Consider the following 25,391-nt stretch of genomic DNA (forward strand, 5'->3'; position numbering starts at 1 on the left):
CCCAGACCATGGTTCCAATCCTGCCTCTGTCCCCGGCCACTGAGTGCCTCCCGAAGGCCACTGAACTTCTCTGGGTATCCGCTTCCTAGTCTTCAACTGAGGCTAACAGTAGTTGGGGCCACCTTACAGGTTGTTGAGAATAAACTAAGACCAAGATCTAATCTCAGTGCCCGACATGAGGCAGTTGCTTCCTGGAAGTGATGAGAGTTGGGCGACTCTATCCCAGAAGCACAGGCCACAGAGTCTGAGGACGCAGGGGAGGGAGGCCGACCCCGCCGGGGCTCCCTGCAGCCTCCGAGGGCCTCTGCGGGCCTGGCTGGGGTAGGCTAAGGCCAAAGTCCCCAGAGGATGGGAAAGGCTGAGACCACCCTCGCTGGCACTGATCAGGTCCTGAGTTTGTAAGGTCATGGGGGATGGAGGGGGACAGCCTGGGGCTTTCTCCAGGAACTTCAAGGGGCTGGAATAATTCATTCAAGAAACGCTAACCATAAAACCCTCATGCTGTTCTGGGCTTGGACTGGGTGGGATTCAAACACTCAGCCTGCAGCTCCCACCACTGACGAACAGCGCACTCTAAAGCTTAAGAAGCACAAGGAGATCCTCCAGGGCATGGAGGCTCCCGCAGCACCCAGGCTGGGACCCCCGCTGCCTGCCAGGAAAATGCGACGTCTGTGCTATTATTGCCGGGGTTACACCAGGGATGGTGTTTCCAAATTAGCAAAGGCCTGGGAAGGTGGCAGGGCATCCATCTGGGGCTTAGTAGAGCGTGGGAGGCAGCATCTCGGGACCCCTCCCTGGCCCGGTGCAGCCACGGGGAGCCCAGATGCAGGCAGTGGGGGGAGTGGGGGCACGGGGGAGGACAAAGGGGGGCTTGGCTCAGGCCCAGCCCCGGCCCCTCCTGGTGGCTCTCCCCACTCGTTGGATTGGAACACGGGCATTGCTGTCCTGGGGGAGGAGCAGGGCTGGACACGAGAGTGGACCTGGCCTCAGTGAGAAGGACTTTGGTGGGCTGTGGGGAGGAGCTTCAGGCTGTGAAGTGGGTGGGGCAGTGGGAAGTGTGCCTGGGGGGGTCCGTGGACGATTCCTCCTTCGGGACTGCTTGACCACTGCCTTCCCCGCCAGCTGGACCGTCCCCACACACTGCAGAAGGTTGGGGGTGGCCTAGGGGCTCATGCCCGCCCGCTCAGGCCTTCTCTCACTTTGTCGGACCCAAGACCCTGGGATGTCGAGTGGGGTCAGTAAACGGACCTGCAGGTCCTGGGAGGACAGGGCAGGGCGGCTGCTGGGCATCGCCATGAGCTGAGCTTCCACTGAGCATCTCTGAGTGCCAGGGTGAGGGGACAGAGATGGCTGCCAGCCTCCTCCTCTGGGGCCTGGAGACAGGAGGGGGACAGGTGTTATAATAAGCAGTGACAGTGGCTGCGCTGAGGACTCAGGCTAAGTGCCAGGGTGGGGATGGGGATGGGGGCTGAGGGTGGGGATGGGGATGGGGGTGGGGGTGGGGGATGGGGATGGGGGTTGAGGGTGGGGGGTGGGGGTGGGGGATGGGGATGGGGGTTGAGGGTGGGGGTTTGGGGTGGATCTAGTTGGAGGCAGACAAGGAGGGACTCTCAGGTATCCACAGGGGAGGGGCAACCAGGAGCTGCCCTTGAGGTCAGGACAAGAGGGTGGTGGGCAGCGGTGGGCGGCAGCTGTGGGCCACGACCTAGAGCAGCAGCCACGTCCCAGGAGACTGAGGCCCTCAAGGCACAAAGCCTCGTGGGGGGTCCTGGCTGGGGCCCAGGCCACTCTGCTTGGGTAGGACGCTCTGGGTCAAGGGGCAGAGTGGCTGCTGTGGGCCTGGGACACGCAGACAGTAGAGGCCTGGCCGTTCTCTGGGCTCTGCAGGCGGCCAACCCCCTAACTCAGCTCCATCCGCAACCCCCATACCCTGTTCCCCAGCCCAGGAGGTTCCTTCAGTGCCTCAACCTCACCCTGGTCCCGCCTGCCCATCACTCAAGATAGGAGGCAGCTGAACTGCCGGACACTCTACAGGTGGCCGCGCTGGCTCAACTTCTTTGAGAACCAGGGGAGACAATGGGAGGTGCAGGGCCACCAGAGCTGTCACTGAAGTAGGGGATACCTGACCACCTCTGGGGGCAAGGCCAGGCCTGCCAGGGGCAGGGGCAACAGATTCACCTCCCATCTCCTCCTTTCCCCAGCAACCCCACACCTGCCCCACATTCTTAGCCAGAGAAGAGGCAGGTAGGGATGGGCACTTCCGAGAAAAGAGGGGGGCAGGGAACTGCAGAGGCCACAGGGTGCCTCTGACTGGCCATGGGGCCTCAGGGGGGTCACCTCAGCTCGAGCCTCAGTGTCCCCGTGTGCGCAATGGGAGGACGAGGGCTTGCTCATGCCTAGCGCCGCCTGCGAGGGAGCCTCAGTTGGGCAACGAGCCTGGCTTGCTGCCTGCCACAGAGGGCTGGGCAGTGCTGGTGGCCGCCCCGCTGCTGTGCGGCTCTCACCAGGGCAAGGCCACCTCCCCAGTCCACGCTCCGCAAGTGCTCAGCACACACACATCCCTCCACCATGCTGGGCCCTGGACTCTCAGAACCACAATAAATGCAGCTCTTGGCGCAGATTCTGGGTTTGATCCTCGCGCTGCTCCCCCTACTCGGGGCAAGCAACAAAGCCGGCATCAGACCCTGCGTGCTGACCACCCCCTGCCCTGGGAGGGCTGAGGGGAACACAAGAGAAGAAAAAGACACACAGTCCAGGGGGAGAAGCGAAATCCAGTGCCGGGGCTGAAGGGACCCTGGGTCAGCTGCCCCACGGGACGCGTGGTCCCGACGGCTCTGGGTCCAGACACGTTCGGTGTCACGGGAAGGAGGGGAAGGGGCTTCCCGGCAGAGAGCAAAGGCACGGGGCTGGGAGGGGACCTGCAGGGGGAGGAGGGGAGGCGAGGATGGGAGGGGACCTGCAGGGGGAGGAGGGGAGGTGAGGATGGGAGGGGACCTGCAGGGGGAGGAGGGGAGGCGATGGGAGGGGACCTGCAGGGGGAGGAGGGGAGGCGATGGGAGGGGACCTGCAGGGGGAGGAGGGGAGGCGAGGATGGGAGGGGACCTGCAGGGGGAGGAGGGGAGGCAATGGGAGGGGACCTGCAGGGGGAGGAGGGGAGGCGAGGGTGGGAGGGGACCTGCAGGGGGAGGAGGGGAGGCGATGGGAGGGGACCTGCAGGGGGAGGAGGGGAGGCGATGGGAGGGGACCTGCAGGGGGAGGAGGGGAGGCGAGGATGGGAGGGGACCTGCAAGGGGAGGAGGGGAGGCGATGGGAGGGGACCTGCAGGGGGAGGAGGGGAGGCGAGGGTGGGAGGGGACCTGCAGGGGGAGGAGGGGAGGCGATGGGAGGGGACCTGCAGGGGGAGGAGGGGAGGCGAGGATGGGAGGGGACCTACAGAGGGAGGCGCGGATGGGAGGTGCAGGGGGAGCTCCCACATCCCCCATCCCCAAGGCCCCCTGTCCCGCAGGGGAGAACGCTAAGAAATGGGGAAGCAGGAGGGGTGATGGGAGGCTGGGAGGCCTCAGGGCTCCCCCCACCCACCAGTCCCAATACCTGATGGACTAGAGCCAGTCTCAACTGGGAGCCTGAGACTGTGCATAAGTGGGCGAGTGGGGTCCCAGGAGAGGGGCCAGGGTTGGGGAGCCCCAGAGGGCTCTGTCCCTGCAGGGTCTCAAGCCATGTCCAAGCCCAGCTGCTCTCTAGCACCTGGGGCCTGGCCACCCCCGGGGCGAGACTTCGGGGCACCTCCCCCAGCCCATCCTCAGTGAAGCTGAGAGGCGGCTGCTTCGGGTCAGCAAACGTGGACACTGCCTTCCAGAGAAATCAAAGCACTGTGCCAGCCGAGGCCCAGAGAGTCATAGGAGCAGTGCGGGCCGCAGCCGAGGCAAGGAAGCAACCTCCTTAGGGGGGACTAGGGTGGGGGGGTATCCCTTTCCAGCTGGGCCGGGGGTCACCCCGAACTTGGGATGAGGGCACTCATTCTGTGAGCTTCTTCACCCCGCTTAACGCCCCACAAGCGCCCTGAACCCTCTGTGCAAGTCTGTAAGCTGCACAGGCGAGCAGAGACTCTGGGAGCTGGGAGAGGTGGAGGGTCCCCAGAAGGAGACGGAAAAGGGGAAAGAGAGGGAAAGAACAATGTCACAGCCAGCGAGAGGGCCAGAGCAGGGCAGACACAGCTGTGGGGGGCACCGAAGCAGTATCCACATAACAAAGGAGGCAGGGCCAGAGGCGAAGACAGGGCCGAGAGGCAGAGTGGCTTGGGCACAGGTGCCAGACTTGCCCCATCCTCCCACACCAGGAACACGGCGCCGGCCTCCGGGACTTCGCCGCATTGCCCATTGCTTTCTTGCGGGTGTTTACAGGCTGCCAGCACTCCTGTGCTGGGGGTGTTTCCAGCCCTTCTCTGGTGAGGCAGGGGAGGTCTGGAGGTGGCTGCGGTCGGGTGGGCCCGCTGTCCAGATACCCCGCCCCACCCTACTCCCTAAGTGCAGGGCAGGACATCTGCCCGCTGGGGCTGCCCTATTTCCTCTGTCCCCGTCCTGCCCCTCACCAACTGAGCAGCTCACTTTTCCTGCCTCACCCTGGTCCAGCTGTGTCTGCCCCCGACCCTTGGCCCTGTTCTGGGGTCCCTCCCATTTTGCAGAACTGCTGACCCCCAGATCCTTGGCTGGGGGTGGGTGGCGGACACAGCAGGCAACGACCACCTGTGATCACCCCATTTCCCTGCACCCTGTGCTGGCCAAGATGTGCAGAGGGTGTGGCCAGGGAGGTAAACAGCACAGGCCTTCTAGAAGGTGCTGAAGGAACTTCATGCCTCATTGAGAGAATTTCCAAATTCCCTCTACTAGAAAATTCTCTCCACGAGAAGCCCATTTTTGGGGCTGGTGGGGTGATAACAGGTGTGAGCCCAGCTAAGCCTCGGTGTCAGGGCTGGGGACTTCAGAATGACAGGAGTGGCTAAAGCTGACAGGGCCCTGGGAACCAGGGTGGGCCAGGCTTCCCGTTTATCAGAGCCCAGAGAGGCTAAAGGGCTTGCCCAAGGACACACAGCACTGAGAACACCAAGCTCCCAGATTTCCCATCCGGCTTTTTCTTTTTCCTTCCTCCCAATCCTTACTTGCTGCACGGACATTATACACACAGGAAAAGAAACCAGGAAAGAATCACGTGTAACCAATCCCACCACCTGCACCTGGGCACCTGACTTCCCACCTCCTCCTCCCACCTTTGGCAATGGGCTTTCTACCCGGCTGGGACCATGGATGTTGATATTTGGCACCTGTGGTTGCAGCCCTCTCCTGCCACATGCCCACACAGGCCTGAGCCCCGGCTGCCCATGGTGGTCTCCAGCCCCCATGATCCATTCCACCCTCAAGTGACAACCGCAGACCCTACTGTCTTGAGGGGATGGGAGGGGCGGGCCCAGTCCGGCTCCCACGGCAGCCAGGGAGATGGTTAAAACAGCACACACTGGACCGTGCCTCTCTGCTGCCTGAAACCTCTAATGATTTCCCTTCACTCTGAAGAAATGTACCCTCCTGACCCCGGCCCCCAAGGCTCTGCTGGTCCCCTCCCTCCCTCCCTCCCTGTCCAGTCCCGCCCCACCTGGCTGGCTCCAGCCACCAGAGTCTGTGTTCAGTTCTTCGAACACGCTAAGCTCCATGGCCTCAGGGCCCTCGTACATGCCCTTCCCTGTACCCACAATGCTGTTCCCTCAGTCTTTCCTTGCCCAGCTCCTTCTGTTTCAAAGCTGCCCCTTCAGAGATGTCCTCCCTGGCCACCCTGCCTGAAGTGGGTTCTGCTGTTAGCCCTCTGTCTCGGGGACCCCGCAGACTGTGAGCCTGTGAGGACCAAGACCTCATCTCTCTTTCTCTGCTGCACCGAGGTGCTGTCACGATGCCCGGCACATAGCAGGTGTTCAATAAAGGAGTGAGTGCCTAAGTGGACGAGTGGGGAAGGGTGGATGGAGGGAGGAAGTCGGGCGCCTGTGCTGAAGGGCTCAGAACCTGACTGGAGAGGTCTGGCTGAGGGCAGACAGAATGAAGGACGCTGGCTGGCTGCCCAGCCGGGCATGAGCCAGGACGAGCCAGTATTTGGCTGGGTCTCGCCCTGCCCGGTCCCCACGTGGCCGGGAGACTGGCGTGGGTTCAGATCAGCCGCACCAAAGACCTCAGGCCTTGGAGCTGCTGGCCCCTGCCCCGTTGGCTGGTTCCTGCTTCTCTGAGGAAGGGGAGGCTGTGGGCAGGAGGTGCCACTGAGGAGTCTGGGCCTCCCCCAAACCCTCTACTGAGCAAGTGCGAACCCTCCCAGGCACCTGCACAGGTGCACATGCACAGGTGGGCAGGACATCCCCACCTCCCTCCCTGCTCTTCCACAGGCCCCGGGGTCCTGCGCCTCCCAGGACACCTCAGCCCTCGTCAGGTGGCGCTGGCAGCCCAGCCTCGGCGTCTGAGGAAGGGGTGGCAGCCGTGCCAGGCATCCAAAGGGTGGGTGGGGGAGGGGGCAGTGGGCAGCCGTGAATGGCGGCCTCCCTGCCACGGCACGTGAGCTCGGCCCAGCGGTTCCCGGGGCAGCAGCAGCTCCCGCCTAAGTACTATGTTGAAGTGGCCAGCTAGTGCCGCGTCCCTCCCCGCCCGGGGCTCTGTGCCTTGGTGAGGTTTTATTGTGAACACAGAGCCCACAAGGTGGGGGTGTGGCTGCCAGGGCGCTGCTCAGAACCCGCCCCACACCCCCAAGCCTTGACAGTACCCCCAGCAATCACTCAGACTCCTCAACACTTTCCCCTCCCCGCTCCTCGGGCAACCCCAACTCAACAGTGGAGCTGGGCACTGCCCGCTCTCGGGCAGGAAGCCAGTGGGCAGGGAGGTCCGGGGCGGCAGGCTCCCAGCTCCATCAGACGGATACCTCGGAGCGGAGCCAGCATGAAATATTCATGCAGTAAATGGTGCAATTTTGTCTGCATTCAGCCGACTTCATGTATATTTCAGAGTATTATGAAATGGTAATGCTGTACGGCAGAGGTGGTGCAGCCCGGAGGGCCACAGCTGGGGGCAGGGGGGTCTCAGGGTGAAGACGAAGTGGGTGGGGAGAAGGACCCTGTCCCTTAGGGGCACGGAGATGAGAACGACCAACTCTCTGACCAGGGTGGGCAAGAGAATGGAGGTGCCAGCACCTCCAAGACGGGGGAGGCAAGGACTGGAGGGTGGGTGGTGGGAGTCCCCAAGAGTGCCACAGCCTGGCAGGAGGCAGCCCACCCCTGCACCCCCAGGTTGGAGGCACCCCAGACGCACTCCCCTCCCGATGGTGGCTGGGGGTAGAGCTGTTCCCACCCGCACCTCTCCTCTCTGACTGCCACGGGGCTCGGGTGTCAGGCCAAAGCCTTGGTGCCAATTCAGCATCGCTGCCTCCCAGGTGCGTAGCAGCAGGGCCTCTCGGGGAGGCCCCAAGTGCAGAACCTCCCTGGCCCCTCCAGGTGGGCATCATTCAGCGGCCTCGTCCCTCGGCCAGGCCTAGCCATCCCCTGGTGCCTGAGTCCAATCTGGCTGTTGTTCTGGGGACTGACACACTTGGGGGTGACGGGGAAAAGGTCTTGGGAAGGAGGATGCGCCCGCCTCATTTGCTACGCTCTGAACTTTCTGGGGGTCTTGGATGCAGAGAGATCTGGCATCCAAGAGAGGTCACCCAGAGAGAAACTGTCCTTCAGCCTCTGCTGTCCAGGACTCAGGTTTGGGGGTTCCATGGTGGCCACCCCAGTCCTCCATTCTTCATCCACCCAGGCACCAACCATGGCTTCTCTGGACCAGCCTCCCGGGGCCTACACCAGAGGAAGAGCCCCTGGTTGGGAGGGTCCCCATTCCCAGGGACAGTGACCCCAGAGGCCTGGCAGCCCCACACACTGCGGGGGCAGGGGAGAACCTCGCCTGAGCTGCTTGGGCTGGGAACTGGGTTTCCTTGGCTGCCCTCACCCCTCTTCCACGTCTCCAGTTGGGCAGGCCTAGGGTCCCCATGGTCAGCTAGACCAGGGATACGCACAATTCAGCCTTTGGGCCAAATCTGGCCCGCTGCTTCTCTATGTAAATAAAGTTTTATTGGAACCTGGCCACACCCCCTCACTCACATATTGTCTCCGGCTGTGCTCGCCCTACCGCATCACTGAGGAGTTGCAGCAGAGGCTGTGTGGCCCGGAGAGACTAGCCCAGGTGCTGTCTGGCCTCGTACGGACTGGGCTGGCTGGCCGGCCCCTGAGCTGGACAGCAGGACAGGGTGAGCCTGGCTTGCTGGAGTCCTTGGCTTCTGCTGATGGGAACTGGCCCTTCTCAGGAGTCCCGGGAGGAAACGGCATGCTGGCAGGCGCGGGGACTCTGTGCCCTTGGCTGGCTGTGTTTGCCCCGCTGTGGTGGCTGGGTGAGAATGAATTTCATCCCTGGCAAGCTACAGAGCCACACTGTCTGGTCTGCAGCCTCCCTGGCCAGAGCAGCAGCCCCTGCGCTCTCCTCAGCCGCTGCTGTGGGCCAGGGAGGCGGTGGAGGTGGCCGAAGGGCAGGGGCCTCTGGAGGGCCCCCAGAGACTCAGAGAAACCCCTCCGGTGTCCTCGTCCTGACACCTCCCTGCTCTCTCCTTTGCGTGTCTCACTTTGGGCTCTGCTCTTACTCCCCGTCTCCCACCCCAGGGGCCCCCACTCTGTCCTCACGCTCCCTCTGCTTTTGCCCTGGCCTGGCGTCCATCAGCACCCAGGCACTGTCCACTCTGCAGCTGGCCCTGTGGCCTAGCCAAGAGCCCACAGTTGTCCATCCCCTCTGCGGAGAGCCCAGCTGCCGTCCATGCACCCCTTCCACAGACACTGACCACAAAGCTTCTCCCCGTAAGGCCCCGGAATCTGATCAGGACCCTCCGAGGGAACCTGCCAAGAACACAGATGCCTGGCTTCCCCCTGGGTCACCAAATCTAGCCCACAGCGAGAACTGGCCGGTGCCACTTACTGATGTGCCCAAGGGACTCAGCGTGGTAGAGTATGAGGACCCGGGGGTGAGGTTGTACAGGGGCCGGGTTTCCCTAAGTCCCTAAAAGCTGAGATGCCCTGGGCCCTGAGCACAGCTCCTCTCCTTGTCCCAGGAGAGCCAGCTCTGCCGGGGGACAGAGGCCAGGGCATCAACAGTCCCTCCCAGGCCCACGCTGTCCCCACCACCACCTCTTAAGGCTGGCAGTGCCATGTTCCACCCAGCTCGGCACATGCTGGCCCAGATGACCAAGGACACCCCACTCCCTGGCTGGCCAGCCCCAGATGAACAATGAGTGCTGCTTATGGTCACCGCACGTCTGGAGACGCAGCACAGGGGAGGCGACTGCAAGCTAGGATGGGGCTAGACGGCCCTGGGGAGCTGCCTCTGCTGCTGAGAACGACCGAGCTGTATCACCCGCTCCAACTCCTACGCTGAAGTCCTAACCCCTAGTACCTTAGAATGTGGCTGTGCGTGGAGACGGGACCTTTAAAGAGGTGATTACATTACACTGGGGTCATTAGGGTGGGCCCTAATCCAACATGACTAGCATCCTTACAAGAAGAGGCGATTAGGACATAGACACACACAGACAGACGACCATGTGAGGACACAGGGCAACGACAGCCATCCACAGCCAAGGAAGAGAGGCCTCCAACAGAACCAACCCTGCCCACACCTGGACCTCAAACTCCCAGCCTTCAGAACTGCGCGAGGAGAAACGCCTGTTGTTTATGCCACCTGGTCTGTGGCAGACCAATACGGCTACTTACTAGTCGGCTGGCCCTGGGCAGGCTTCCTATGCCCTCTGTGCCTCAGTTTCCTCTACTGTAGAATGGGATAGCAATGTGCCCACCTCTTGGGCTGTGGTGAGCCGGTTAAGATGTGAAGAGCCTGGAGCAGGCTGAGCAGGGGCACTGCAAACCTGCTCCTGTTCTTACACTTCCCCACGACTCAGAGGCCGGGGACACTGGGCACCTTGCTTGCAGCTCTCACGCCAGCTTACTCCTAAACACCCCAACCAGAGCCCCTACAAACACAGCCAAACGGAGCAGAGGCAGGCAGGGTCTGCTCCCGACAGCCCTTGCTAAGGACGCCCGACCAAGGCTGGCAAGGAAGGTGGCTAGGGCTCAGAGCTCACTGTTTTCTGGGAGGAGAAATTAAAACATAAATGAAAAAGGGCTCCGGGGCTGAGCAGGGCATGGAGGTGGCCAGGACAGGAGCCCAGCTGCAGGTACAGCCCCAATTTATGTGATTTTTAGGGACCTGGAAAGGGACCTGGCTCAGCCCACGTGGCAGTCACTTCTCTAACTTCCTAACTGCGGCCCCAGGATGGCTGCTGGGACTCCCAGAGATGGACTCTCACGGCTTCCAGGGGTGCAAAGGAAGGACAGTGTGGAGTGTGCTGTAAGCCCCAACCGACACTGCTTGAGCACCTGCTGTATACTAAGCGCTTTCATACAGTGAAGGCGAGGCTGCAGGCCATGTCCAGCTCACAGACAGAGACACCAAGGCCACCCAGGCACCAAGGTGATGCAGCTACCGAGGCCACACGAGAAGCAAGAGGGCATCTCTGTGGCAGGTGGGTAGTGGGAGTTAGTGTGAGTTGGGGAGCGGAGACCCAAAGAGCTGTGCTGGGTGGCCAGGGAGGCTCTGACTCAATGCCCAGCACCAGGTGAGCTGACCTGGGGGTGCCCATGTGTCCACTTATGGGAGACCAGGAGGCAGAGGCAGGTTGGGATGAGAGTCCTGGGGGTAGAGCTGGCCCGGGCGGTTCCTCCTCACAGATTCTATAGCCGGAGATGGAGATGGCTCAGGGGCATGCCTGCCTGCGGCCCTGGCTCTCCAAGAGCTCTGAGACCAATGCCCCCGGCTTAGCCCAAGCCGCACAGGAAAGCCATCCTGTGGACCAAGTCTGGGCACACAGAGAGGGCTGGACTCCACACGCATCTGTGGCAGGCTCCTGGAGACTCCTGGAACACCCCTGCATTCTCCCTTCATTCTCAAGCAATATTCCTTTGGGAAAATGCTCACCTGGTCTCAGCTGAATCCAGGAAATTGATTGCCACCCACTCACACACTCAGAGTTCAACTGGGGTGGTAGGGACACATGCACAGGACCGTGCCCACGCCTGGGCTGCATGCCCGCAGCTGGGGGACACACACACAGAGTGACGTGCACCCATCACTTACACACACACATTGGTCACACACATGTCCACACTAAATCATTTGCTCACAACCACTCACACACACACTACCTCCACACTCACACCCTACAGCTGCTGAGGAGGGTGAGGACAGGTCGCTACTCCCACCTCCCTCATAGGATGAGCTGCAAAACGGCTCAGAGGCTTCAGCGAGGGTGCATGCGTGTCCGCCGAGTGTTCCAGCGTCCCGGGACAGTTCTCCCCAGCACCGTTGATACAGCCCCCACTGCCCTCTGAAGTGCAGACAAAACGGAGGGCAGCTCTGCTCAGGGCCTCCCTGGCCCCAGGAAGGGCCAACAGGCAGCAAGGGCTGCCTTCCCCAGGAACGCTCCGCTCGAGTAGTAAGTGACTGCCTAGCTCCGGCCCCGGGGGATTCTCCTGAGATCTGTGAGTAGATGAAGCTGGGGATTAGCAGACATAGCTCCAGGCCGGGAGGAAAAATCCATGTGTGATTCATGATGCCCTCCCAGACGTGGGGCGATGCAGGTGGCCTGGAGCCAGGGCTGACGCCTAGGACCCCAACATTTCTCTGCACCCAAGGGGTGGACCTGGGGGCCATGCAGGCACTAAGGCAAGGCACGAGCGTGTGAGCGTGCAGCAGACAGCATGGCAGTGTGGTCCCACCTCAAGCTGCAGGGCAGAGCACGAGAGACCCAACGTGGTCTCTGGATGGGGTCTCAATTATCCTGTACGGCCAAGGCCTAAGTTCTAAGAGCTGGGCAGTCCCCCGTATGTGGGGCGGTCACAAGCCTGCAGCTGTCCCTCCTGCTGTATATCCATCCCGAGCTCACCCTGGAGCAGGCCTGGGTTCCCGGGGCACCCCCATATCCCACCTGCCCACTCTCAAACAACTCTTAGGCCAGAAAACTCTCTGAGAAGGGACAGCAGGACTTGGGATTCCCCCATTCATTCATTCATTCATTCATTCATTTTTTTCTTAATAAACATCTTGGCGAGCGTAGTGGCTCATGCCTGTAATTCCAGCACTTAGGGAGGCCAAGGTGAGTGGATCATTTGAGGTCAGGAGTTCGAGACCAGCCTGGTCAACATGGTGAAACCTTGTCTCTACTAGAAATACAAAGATTAGCCAGGCATGGTGACGCACACCTGTAATCCCAACTACTTAGGAGGCTGAGGCAGGAGAATCACTTGAACCCAGGAGGCAGAGGTTGCAATGAGCTGAGATCACACCATTGTACTCCAGTCTCGGCAACAAGAGCGAGACTCCATCTCAAAAAAAAAAAAAAAAACAAAAAAGTCTCGTGGGCTGGGCACAGTGCTAACTGCTAGCAACACCCAGGCAAGGAAGATGTCTATCTGGTTTTTGCCCACCAGGAATTTGGAGGTTAGAAACATAGCCCCTCTGCAGATAATCTGTAGCAGGACAGAAAACAAAGCCTGGTTATGGTGGGGTCATCCAGCCTGAGGCACTCAGGGGAGGCTCCCTGGAGGAGGTGGCCCAGCTAAAGCCTTGAAGGATGCACAAGAGTGAGTGAGCCAAGGAAGGGGCCGGCACGAGTCAAGTCGCAGAGCCCAGGGGACAGGTCAGGTTGGAGAAGGGATGCTGAGAGGCCCCATGAAGCCCGTCCTCTGCTGCCAATGAACCCTTCATGGAGGCCTGGAAGCACCGCATGGCTCCAGCACACACCCCGATCCCATCACTTCCGTCTCCGCATACCAGCTGGGGATGCTGCTCCAGGAAGTGACCTCACCTTTTAAATACAATGCGTCTTCCTGCAACTTAACCCCCTCGGGGGTGTGTGGAGGCCCGGAAGCTGGCCTGCCTGCTCTTGCAGCTGGTGGTTGAAGTGCCCTTGCTCTTCCGGTTATGGCTCTTCCGTTTTTTTTTTGTGTGTGTGTTTTTTTGAGACAGGGTCTCACTCTGTCACCCAGGCTGGAGTGCAGTGGCGCGATCTTGTTTCACTGCAACCTCCGCCTCCCGGGTTCAAGCGATTCTCCTGCCTCAGCCTCCTGAGTAGATGGGACTACAGGCGCATACCATCACACCCGGCTAATTTTTGTATTTTCCTAGAGACGGGGTTTCACCATGTTGGCCAGGCTGGTCTCAAACTCCTGACCTCTTGATCCGCCTGCCTCAGCCTCCCAAAATGCTGGGATTACAGGTATGAGCCACCGTGCCTGGCCACACCCACACTCTGTGGGGACCAGGGCCTCCTGCCACAATCAACCCACAACAGTCGAAGGAGGCTATGAGGCCCCAGCGGGACTTTTGGGGGACAGGGATGGGAGGAAATTCAGGACTAGACAGATTACAAAACCGCTCACAGACTTCTGCCCCCAGCTGCCCCTGCTGAGAATTGGGAGCCAGAAAAAGGAGGCCAAATCTCAGGGTAATGTTCATGCTCCTTGTAACCTCTGGTCCCATTAAACTAGCAGCACAATCCCAGCTTTACCTTGCAGAGCCAGACATAATGGGGCATTAGAAGGGAATTGAATTTCCCTTTAATTACAATGGCCCACAGACATTGTTTAATTTGTAATCTGGGAGTTAATGTGGTTTTCTCCTCTTGCAGTCATGGGGCCGCCTGCACACACATGTTCTCATTCACCCGGACGGAGCATGGGGCCCACCCTGCAAGGTGAGACGTCGGACAAGGCCGCCCCCAGCCCGGTGAGTGGAGTGCCGCGCCCAGCCCTGCCTCTCTCCTGCCTCCAGCCAGGCCCACCACACAGAGGACGTCAGTGTGGCTGTCACATGTCACATGGAGCACACATGCATGGAGCCATCCTAATAGGCAGGCAGGAGCATAATTTTTCCTCTAATTACATATTCAGCACTTCTGAGAAAATGAGATTTTAGTAATTCAATTGGACTGAGAAGCGGGGCTATAATAAAATGGAATTTGTAACAATCGCGCAGTTAAATTAGTTAAATGGAGAGGAAGGAGCTGTGGAAAATTGACCCCTCGATCTCCTAAGGACTAATCAGACATTTGAACTGAGCTGTGCTAACAAAGCCCTCGGGTGTTGTGGGTGGTGTGGGCGGGCGGGGGTCTCCCGCGGCAGGTGAAGGAGGGGACGGCGGAGAGAGCAGGGCTGGGAGAGCCGGGAGGGGTAGAGGACAGCTCAGGGCTTGGGGAAGTAGGTGCTGGAATGGAAAAAGCCAGTGGCACGGCTTCTGATCAAGCGGTTCTCAAACTGCAGTTTTCAGAACATCCTCCAGTGCCACCTGGAGAGGGACAAAGTCACGGAGGAGACCGAGGTCTGTGACATGCAGCTCTCGGGTGCTCCTGAGCACAGACACGCCAGGGCTGTCTGGGGGAGAGAGGGTGACGGCGGGACCAAAACTGTGCCCACCTCACTGCCAAGCTGAAACAGAGTGGTTCAAGCTGGGGGAGAAAAGCAACTTCTGGCCAGGGTGTGGCCACTGCTCCCCCATCTCACCTGGGAGCATCCGGCCCCAGGACCCTAGCCGGGTCCCTCTCTGGCCTTGGCCAGCTCCCTCCTTGGGGCCGGGCAGCACACTCGGCTGAACACCAAGTGTCACAGAGGAGGCAACCGCTCCTGCCCCGCCTGGGGAAAGCCGCAGGCCCGGGGCCTCACGGCCTCAGTGTTCTGAGGGTGTCAAGAGGGGAGGTGTGGACCCCAAGCCTTTGGAGAAACTGAGAGATCCCGGAAACAAGACTCCAGGGATGCTCTTCAGGCTGTGGTGGGGCAGAGTGGAGAGGCCAGGGCATCCGAATGTCCTTCTGACGCTGCCCCAGACCCTTCTGGTTTGCAGAGATCCTGTCATTCAGGAGAACATTCTTCCCCAGAAACCCTGGCAACATAAAAAGTCAGGGAAGTCCCAGAGCTGGAGGGCAGGATGGGAACCGGGAAGGTTGTTGCCACCTGGACCAGACTGGTGCTTTCCTCACCCTGCCCACCCAGCACTGGGTGCAGAGCTGCCTGGGTGGGGAAGGCCTAGAGGGATGCCCCCCACCCGCCCGCACCCCACTTGCTTCCCTCCTGGCTGATGCGGAAGCTTTGCCAACAGGGTGCCCCACCTCCCTCAGGCACCTGGGACCGCCAGATGCAGAACGGGTCTCCTGCGTTGAGCTCCTCCTTGCCCAGGTGCTGTGGGTGTCTCTGGGCCAGATGGTGTCCAGACAGGCCTGCTGGAGCCCACCCAGCCCAGGCCTCCTGAACTCTTATGCTGAGCCATGCAAACAGGCTGGGGCCAATTGGAGGGTGGGGACCCCTGCCCCACAGCCTGACCATACAGCACATTCTAGAATATCAGCAGAAGCAGCTTCCTGCTTTCCTCTGCAGGCAGGCCCACCTCCACCCCACAGCTCAGACAGAGGTGTGGGCTCCAGGAATCCTTCTGTACCAGGGTTCGGAAAAGGGTGAGATGGGGAAGCTCAAGGTTTGGGATGGGGGAGGGAAAGAATGGGCCAAGAAGATCCCAGAGATCCCAGGCCTCTGGGAGGGGTGGGCATGGCTGCACCCCAGGTTCCCCACCTGGCAGGGGCGGTGGCGGTAGCGCCTGGGCAGAAAAGTGCAGCTGCTCTTCAGGAGTCCAAGGTTAGGGCATAGTGGGGAGCTGGGAGAAGCCAACAGGCTAAGGACTTCCTGTGGGCAGCACCGTGCTGAGCTCGTGGGGTCATCCCACTTAACCCTGAAGACCCCCAAGATACAGGTGCTGGACTGTCCTTGGCTGTGCAGTCCGCAGCTTGGGTGCAGGACAGGGGCTCTGCGGCCTGGTGAGAGACGCTCCTGGGGGTGGGCGGCACTTCACCCCTTCAGTCTTGGGGGGAGGTGTTACATAATTAACACCTTGGGTGCCTTGGCGCATGGCCAGCTGTGCCAGTGAAAACGGTGCCACTGGCCCTTGGTGGGAGGCCCAGCGTCAGGTGCGGCCACAGCACGGCGGAGCAAAACAAAAGTGCACGCATTCCTCGGTTCATGGAGGTGAGCCCTTCTCTTGGTGAGGGCAGTGGAGGTCCCAAGTGGGAAGGCCGGGGGTCCAGGCACCCTCCTGGGAGCCTCACCCGCGTGGTGGCTGCCCTGATGCCCCAGAAGCTGGTCTTCCCATGTGCCTGGGCAGCGGGCTGGGAGGGCCAGGGGGAGCCAAACTGCAGAAAATGCAGTGGCCCTAGCAGGCAGAACTCACCCTTAACTTCCCTCGCCCCTCTTCTCCCTGCACCAGAATCACCCAAGGGACCCAGCGTTTCACTCATCTTTCCACCCTTAGTGCCGGGAAGAAAATGAACCCTCAGAATAACATCTGCTAAGGAAAGACCAGACCACACGCTCATCTTTCTAGAGCCAGGAGGAAGGAGCCTCTGACATGGCCCCTGAACAAAAGCAGCCGGGCCACACCTAACAGGCAGGGTGGGAGGGGGAGGCATGGGGAGCAGCCGGGAGGGATGAGAGGCGGGAGACATGGGCTGGTGTCCTCTGCCCTCCAGCATCTTCCTGCACAGCCCTCTGGGCTGGCTTCCACCTCCCAGGCTGCGGTGAGCCATTCAAATATTTATCCTTGTGTCATCTTCTGAAAGGGGAGAGAAGAGAAAGAGGGAGGGAGGAGGAAAAAACCCGAGTTTCTCATTTGAAAGTTAATTAGTCTAATTAGGTCTAATTAAGAGCCCCCAACACAATGCAGTGCACAAATGAAGTGCCGGCTCCTCATTTCCTTTGGTTCTCATTTTAGACTGAGCTGGGAAAGCCTGGGAAGGAGGGGGTGCCTGGGGAGGCCGCAGGAGGGCACAGCGGGGTCCCATCCCTCTGGGGGACAGGTGGCGGGGGCCCCTGGGCAGAGCTGGCAGGTGCACATCCCGATTCCTCCATGCCAGCCATCCCGGGAGGTGACGGGATGAACTTTTAAATCCCATTCTCAGTGCTCTCCTGTTTTCTGGCTCCGGAGCCCCCTGGAGAAATTCTGGCTTCGCCGGCCGGGGTCCCTGGCTCCTTTCGCAGGTGCCTCAGACACGATCTTCAGACCTGCACAAGGGCTTGGGGTCTATGTCCAGGACATGCCCCACCCCCAGGTTCTGGAAGCTTCCAGAAGTCAGGCCAGGTCACAGGATCATTAGGGGCTGAGTCCTGGTTTGGGGGTCCCGTGCCTACCTGGATCACCCCAAAGGAGGGCAGGGCAGCAGCAGATACCATGAGACGCCCTGAGATTGTGGGCATTCTGCCTGCAGCAGGGCTGGGAGCCGGTGACACGCGGCGGGGTTGCTGAGGACACTGTGAGCCAAGGCCCTGCAGGGCACCCGCGTGCACTGGCCGGGGAGGGATGTGTCCACAGGCCCCGGGTTTACACAGAGGGAAACTGAGGCCCAGGGAGCTGGAGTGAGATGTTGCACAGATCTGTACCCGGCGTGCGGCAGAGTTGTGATTGGAACTAGGTACAACAGAGGGATACAAACCTGGGCTTGGCCCACGCCCACCCCTCCTGTTCCCCCCCCGGGCAGGTAAGGGCGAACCTTGGCCCCAGACAAACTGGAGGATGCAACTCCAAGCAAACACCAGTGTGGGAGGGGCTCCTTTCCCTCCTGCACCCCCCAGCGCAGCCTCCCGTGGGAGGGGAGCCTTGGCAGGAGCTATGCTCAGGAAAGGAGGCCCGGGCAGTTGTGGGGAGCCCGCCAGGAGCTGTAGCCGCCCCGGGCTCCAACTCAGGCAGCCGAGACTGAGCCATGCAGCAATGGGAATGGCCGGAGGGGATGATGTCTGAACCAAGATCAAAAGACTTAAGTAGGCTCAGCTCTCAGCCACAGATGAAGGGGAGTCCAAGAGCCACCCACGGGGAGCTGAGATGGGGGAAGGGAATGAGGGGGCTTCGGAAGGGTCCCGAGGGAGGGCAGAGCCTCAGGGAAGGTGAAGGCCCAACACCCCAGCACCGAGATCCGGAGGAGGAGCCCAGCCCCTATGAACATGCACAGGTCGGAATGTAGGCCCTTGACCCTCACCATCCACCTGGCCGAGGGAAGCCCCCAGGCCACTCAGAGCCCATCCACCCCTCCTGCCAGGGCTGGCCCCAGCCAGGTCAGAGTGCGGATGCCAGGCTGGGCTCAGTGGGAGAATCGAAACAAAGGGAAGTTGCCAATAAACTTTTTGGGTGATGAAAATTCAAAAACGGGTTTCTGGGATGGTTGCACAACTGTGAATTCCTTAAAAGTCACCGAATTGCACACCTGCCAAAGAGTGAATTTTACAGTATGCAAATTACACCTCAATAAAGCTGTTAAAAATAAGAAGGTGAACAGACCAGTGGCCATGCCTCCGGGGGCCCAGAGACAGCCTCAAACAAAGGACCATGAGGAAATCCAGAGAGCCCAGCTCTCTCAAGACCCCCGGCAAGGCGGGCACGTCACCCCCACGACAGACGCGCTCACAAGGGCAACCTTCTCAGCTACTCTGGGCCGCAGTTCTTCTCTTCTGTGAAATGGGAAGATCGATCATATCCTGGGGCTGCTGGAGGCTCAAGTCAGAGACTTCCAGACAGTGCCAGGCACATGGCCAAGAACAAGCCCAGGTACAGTGCCAGGCACAGTGCCAGGCTCGGGGAGTGCTAGGCCCCTCTTCCCTTGTTCTCTCCCCAGGGTCTCCATCAGGCTCTGGGGGGCCCCTTCTTCCCCTCCCTCTGGGGTCTCTATCAGGCTCTGGGGGCCCCTCCTTCTCTCCCTCTGGGGTCTCTATCAGGCTCTACGGTCCTACTGAGCACCCTCCAAGGAGGCCCTGGCTGATGTCAGGGCTGTGGGTCCATGGGACCTTGGCTCTAGTGGGGCCGCATAATCCCCCAGCAGCCTCCCATGGGTCATGGAGTCCTTTCCTGGCCATCACAGGCTTGGCGGGGTTGAGGACTCCAATTTACAGATGAGGGCACTCAAGCCTGTCTTCTGGTCTGTCTCTCTCACCCCGGGCTCACTCACAGCCCCGGCCGCAGTCTGCCTGCCCCCGCAGAGGAAGCGTGCTTGGTGGGTCCCCTGCAGTCCCGCCACCCGTCTAGATTCCTCGCTTTAAATTCTCCCCATCAGCTGCCCTGGGGCCTCTTCAACCCTGGCCCTACCTGGGGTCCAGGGCACCCCGGAGCCGGAGCACGGGGCCTGGAGGTGCCCCCGGGACCCTGGAAGCTGCCTCTCTGGGATGCTAGGTCCTCTCAGAGCTCATCCGGGACCCTCCAGGGGAAGCACAGAACCTCCAAAGGCTCTATGGATTTCCGAGGAGGGGGCAGGACAAAGATGGGCCTCCCCCAGGTAAAAGCCCTTCCCTTCACCTCCAACCACAGAGTGGGGGGCAGTGGGGGTCCCCGGCTGGACCCCAGCCCCAGGGCTGGGTGAGGGGTGGGTAACTGGGGAGGGTGGTTGGCACTTTATTTACGGGGTCCTGAAACAGTGGGGCCGGCTCAGAGGCTAAGGAGCCCAGAGGGCTCTGATGCCCCGACCCTCGTTCGGGAGGTCCATCCCTGAGGGCCCTGACCCCGCTGCTGCCTGACCCCTGACCGGCAGGGCCCTAAAGAGGCAGGTGCGGCTTGCCATGGGTGGGTCCCCCACTGGGCAGGGAACCTGCGACCAGTGCCTCCAAAGCATACTTCCAACCCTAAATTAAAATAAATCCCACCACCAACTCATGAATAGCACAATTGCATGGCACCTGCCTGAGTATGGGTTTAAATTGTGAATTGACCAAATGGAAATAGTCAAGATAAACTACACATTTTGTGACCTTATCTTAGCAATTTCTCTTCCTGATGTCATAGATCCACAGCCTAAGAGAACAGAAGAGGCCCGTGCCCAAGGGGGTTGGCCCCACGGCCGCCCTATGTCCTGTGGCCCCCTGACCCTGCCAGCCAGGAGGTGTCCTCACCCCCACTGGTCCATGAGGAAACTGAGGCTCTGAGGGGAGAGGGGTCACTGAGCAGGTGTGGGCGGCCTGGCCCGCTTGTCCACATCCGCTGATGAATGCACTGAGGTGGGACAGTGCCACCTTGGACAGGCCAGCCGCACGGGGCTGCGGCCTCTCTGCGGGTGGCCCGGCAGACACAGAGCCATGGTCTCCTCTGTCAGCCAGTGTGTTTGGGAACATGGCCCATTTGCTGGTTCATCCTCCTAGCTCACCCTGTCTTCCCGCTGGGCTTACATGCCGGGTGCGCCCTCGCCTGGCCCTGGGTCATGAAGGCACTGCAGATGCATGCAGGTAGGGCAGAGAGCCCACTTGGTACTCACAGTACCAGATCCGTAGCAATGCAGCCGTGGCCCCAGACACACAGCCGTGATACATGCCTGCCACCCTTGGAAACAACCAGCACCCCAAACACGCACACTGGCTCTCGCCACACTGCCGCTGAGTGGAGGACCTTCCAAACAGCCCCCTGGCCCTGCTCAGCTCTCAGGAAAGAGCCCAGCTGCACAGGGCGGATCCGTGGGGACTGTGTGAATCCCGGTGTCATTTCCTACTTGGGATTTGTAAGAGGGACAAAGGCAGCACTCACAGCCCTGATTCAGACATGCAGGGGGGTGCCCACCTCTGCTTGGGCCCAGGGCAGTCAGCAACCCGGGTTTCACTGGAGGGGCTGGGTTTTTCTTTTTCACACACCTTAGGCATCCTGAACTCAGATGCTGGGGTAGCGGTGAGGATTCCATATAGGGGAAGGGCAGGGAACACCCCTGGGCTGTGCGGTGGGCAGTCCCTCTCCTCCTCCCCTGCTCCTTCACCCACTGCGGGCAGGACAGGCCCTCAAACTGCTCCCACAAGACCCCTCTAAGAGCCAGCTAAGATCACACACCCCACCCAGGACCCAGGACCCAGGACCCCGCCTGCCTCCGCCAGGGCTGCAAGCCCTCAGTGCAGAGTCCACACCCTCCCACCATGGGACCCTGCACACTGCAGCCCTCGAGAAACAGGAGGCGGCACCGAGGGCCCCACCTGGTGTGGTCCCGTGGCATGAGGCAGCCCCAAAAGGCAAATCCACAGAGGCTGGCAGGAAGGCCGCACACGGGTGGGCTGGGAGGCTGCCAGAGGCTGGGTGGGGAGAACGGGAGGTGGCTGCCACTGGGCATGGTATTCTTGTTAAGATGGTGAAAATATTCAGGAACTAGAAGTGGCGATGGCTGCACAACGCTGAGAATATACTGAAAACCACGGAACCGTATACTTCATAAGGGTAAATGTTACGATACGTAAAGCCCACAGATACAAATCATTAAAAGGAAAGGAAATGAAGAGAGGAAAGAAGGAAGAAGAGAAGGAAAGAAGGAAAAGAAGGAAGGAGAGAGGAAGAGGAGAGAGTTAAAAAAGGAGGAAAAGTGGGAGGAAAGAAGGAGGGAAGGGCAGGAAGGAGAGAAGGAAGGAGAAGAGGGAAGGGAAGGAGGAAGAAAGGAAACGGAGGAAGGAAGGAAGGATGGAAAGCAGGAAAGGAGGAGGAAGGAAGGAAGGAAGGAGGAAGGAGGGAAGGAAGGAAGGGAGGAGGAAGGAGGAAGGAAGGGGAAGGAAGGGCAGGGTCCGGAAGAGGCTGCCTTGGCTGCAGTAGGGCTCAGGCCAGATGTTCACGGAGAACAACAGGTTAACGGTGTCCAGCTTCCAGGAGGGCCAAGTGTTCATGGCTGGCTGGGGTACCGGCTCCGGTCCTGCCAAACGGGCCAGAGGGGAGATAGAGGAAGGAGTTGGACCTGAGAGTCCCCTGCCAGGGGCCTGCAGCCCAGCCTGGAGCCTGAGGGAGGGCTCCAGGGCCAGGGGAGGGAAGGTGTTTTCTCCATCAGGGAGCCACGGCCTGGGGGCTCTTGAGGGCTGGGGGGGCAAGGCCTGGTCAGTGCAGGCTCAAGCATCCCATCCACCACGCGTCTGCACCGTCCTGAAGCCAGAAACCAGCTGTTCTACAGGGACCCCTCCGTGGTGTGTCCGTTAGGCCTCCCAGGTATACCTCTCCCGCTAAAGCTTCCCCATCCACCCCTCTCTGTCCCTACTGCTGCCCCTGCCCATACCCCTGTTCCGGCCGCCCCTGGTCTGTAGCTTTCTGGCCCCTCCTTTTCTATCCCAGATGAACTTTCCTTACTTGTAAATCTGATCCTCACTCCCTGCTCAAAGACCTTCTGTGGCTCCCTATTGCCTACTGGAAAAAGTCAAAATTTCTCAGCCTAGAGCCCCAAAACACTCACTCCCTCGCACCCCGGGTACCAGGTGCTCCAGGAACCCCCGTGAACCCACTCAACCCTGTCTTTCCACGTAAACTGCTGCCTCCGTGTGGATGGTCCTGTTCACAGATCCACTGCCACAGGTCCAGACCCCAAACACAGAGGGCAGAGCCCCGCTCCTGAGACACCTGCCTAGGTCTCCGGTGGAGATAAGCCTTATTCCTTTTAGATCTGAGCTGTCCACTTCAGCAGCCACTGGCCCCATGTGGCTGTCGAGCAATTGAGGTGGGTTGTGAGTGAAAATTATACAGTGGATTTTGAAGATTCAGCATGAAAAGAGAATGCCAAATATCTCAATCATGTGTATATTGATTAAATGCTGCAATGAAAACAGTTTGGACTGGGTTACACAAACACGTCATTAGCACGAATTTCATCTGCTTCCTTTTACTTTTGCAGATGCGGCTGTTAGGAAACGTAACATCACCCGTGGCTTCACCACGCTGCCATCTGCGGACAGGGCTGGTGTAGGCCAGAGACTGGCCAACGTTTTCTACGAGGGGCCAGAGAGCAAATATTTAGAGCTTTGCTGGCCATATGGTCTCTGCTGCAACTGCTCATTTCTGCCGTCGCCAGGCAAAAGCTAACACAGACAACACGTAAACAAATGAGCGTGGCTGTGTTCCAATAAAACTTTTAAAAAATAAAAACAGACAGTGGGACAGATTTGTTCCACAGACCCCTGCACTAGATCTCTGGTTTCCAGACTTTTGAATCACACTAATTACTAACATTTAATTACTTTTTTTTTATAAATTAAAAAAAAAATAGATCTTGCCACTTTGCCCAGGCTGGTCTCAAACTCTTGGGCTCTAGTGATCCTCCCAACTCAACCTCCCAAAGTGCTGGGATTACATGTGTGAGCTCAAACTCTTGGGCTCAAGTGATCCTCCCAACTCAACCTCCCAAAGTGCTGGGATGACGGGTGTGAGCCACCACACCCAGCTGTAATATTTAATTTAAAAAGGGTGGAGGAGGGGGAAGATCCATTAGAATTACCAACCTTTGGCTGGGTGCGGTGGCTCACGCCTGTGATCCCAGCACTTCAGGTGGCCAAGGCAGGTGGATCACCTGAGGTCAGGAGAGTTCGAGACCAGCCTGGCCAACATGGTGAAATCCTGTCTGTACGAAAAATATAAAAATTAGCCAGGGGTGGTGGTGCACGCCTGTAATCCCAGCTACTCGGGAGGCTGAGGCATGAGAATTGCCTGAACCCGGGAGGTGGAGGTTGCAGTGAGCCGACATTACACCACTGCACTCCAGCCTGGGCGACAGAGTGAGAGTCCGTCTCAAAAAAAAAAAAAAAAAAAAAGAGAAAAAGAAAAAAACGCCAACCTTTTATTTTCCCAAATGAGGACATTTAAAAAATGAACAGCAGATATCACTATCACAAAAATGGGCATTTCAACACAAAAAGTAAACATCTTTATGAAAACCATGACTACATTATTCTGATTTTGCCCACTTTGCCACAGGTAGGTGAAACCTTTGTCACAGACACAGCGTGTTGTTGCCTGGTGCAGGAGCTGGGAGGGGACCGGTCTGAGTCTGGTCTGAGGCCTGTGGTCATGGGAGTTTCTCCCAGGCCACCCTGTCCACGTCCCCCTGGTGCTCCCCATGTTCTAGAGCAGCGTGACTCCCTGGGCCTCCATCTGATGGCGATTCCAAGGGAGGCGGCTTGGGGAGCCGGAGGGTCTGCGCTTCTAGCTGGCTCTCCTCACTGCAGGACCAGAGGGAGTATCAGAGCCCTAGAGTTGCTGTGTCCAACAGAAAAGAATGTTCTAGATCGGCCAGTACGTTAACCAGGAGACCCATATGACTATGGGTCCTGGAAACGTGGCTTGTCTCAACAGAGATATTCTGTTTGTGTAAAATCTACACCCAATCTCAAAGACAGTACAGACACAAGAATGTTAACGATCTCTCATAGTTTATCTCATCCTGATTATTCTGGGGGATAAGATTTGAGCTATGCTGGGTTAAACAAAATGTATGATTGAAATTCATCTCATCTGTTTCTTTTCACCTTTTAAAAATGGCTACCAGACGGGTGAGGTGGCTCATGCCCGTAATTCCAGCACTTTGGGAGGCCGAGGTGGGTGGATCACCTGAGGTCAGGAGTTTGACACCAGCCTGGCCAACATGGTGAAACCCCATCTCTACTAAAAATACAAGAAATTAGCCGGGTGTGGTGGCGCACGCCTGTAATCCCAGCTACTTGGGAGGCTGAGGCACGAGAATCGCTTGAACCCAGGAGGCAGAAGTTGCAGTGAGCCGAGATTGCACCACTGCAGTCCAGCCTGGGAGACAGAACGAGACTGTCAAATAAATAAATAAATACATACATACATACATACGTACATACTACTAGAAAATGTAAACTTCCCTGTGACAAGCACTGTATTTCCATTTGACAGCGTTGCTTTGGAGCCTTTCACAGAGCCAGCCAGCCTCTGCTGAATTCTTCTGGTGATGGGGAACTTACACCTCATGAGACAGCTCATGCTAAAGGCATTAACACTGGAGACGCCCTTGGAGGTCGTCTTCCTACTGCCATCCCACCCTCTAGTCCTGCTAGCCCTGTGCTGCCTGGTGGGGAGGGCCTATTCTCTCTAAGGGGCCCACCTGCAGACTTTTGAAGATGATCAGCTAAGATCCCAGTTAAATGCCCCTGATGCCTTTAGCTGATCTTCCCGGTCAACCTTCCAAAACACACAGTGGCTTGGCAGTGACGGCACGGCACTGGATGCGCCAGCGGGTCTAGGTGGCTCTGACCCCATCCCGTCCGCTCACTGGGTGATGGGGCAGGGGGCCTGGGAGGAAAATGGTGAGCTGGAGCCACCCCTGGATCTCAGACTTTGCTGATTTTACCCCAGGCCTTCTCCCACCGTGTCTTGCCATGCAGCTGGAGATGGCTTCATTTTTTACATCATCCACCTATCGGAATGGACTCTCCATGGGTCATTCTGAGACCCTCTCCCCACGCTGAGTACAGAGCTTTGCACACGCCA

The 25,391-nt window shown here is 59.1% G+C and overlaps 1 protein-coding gene across 58 annotated transcripts in view, besides 1 other annotated feature; it reads right to left on the bottom strand.

Annotated features, from left to right (window-relative positions):
• The window catches only part of RBFOX3 (RNA binding fox-1 homolog 3), a 576,227-nt gene that overhangs the window by 59,158 nt on the left and 491,678 nt on the right, over positions 1-25,391 (bottom strand). The window lies entirely within an intron of this gene.
• Positions 13,067-13,567: an enhancer, noted in NCBI's record as "H3K4me1 hESC enhancer chr17:77157651-77158151 (GRCh37/hg19 assembly coordinates)". NCBI's record gives its function as "activates a minimal SCP1, AML or CMV promoter by ChIP-STARR-seq in primed H9 embryonic stem cells {active_cell/tissue: H9 hESC(primed)}" and the evidence as "EXISTENCE:reporter gene assay evidence [ECO:0000049][PMID:30033119]".

The sequence above is a fragment of the Homo sapiens genome, chromosome 17, assembly GCF_000001405.40.
Source record: "Homo sapiens chromosome 17, GRCh38.p14 Primary Assembly".
NCBI classification, from domain to species: domain Eukaryota; kingdom Metazoa; phylum Chordata; class Mammalia; order Primates; family Hominidae; genus Homo; species Homo sapiens.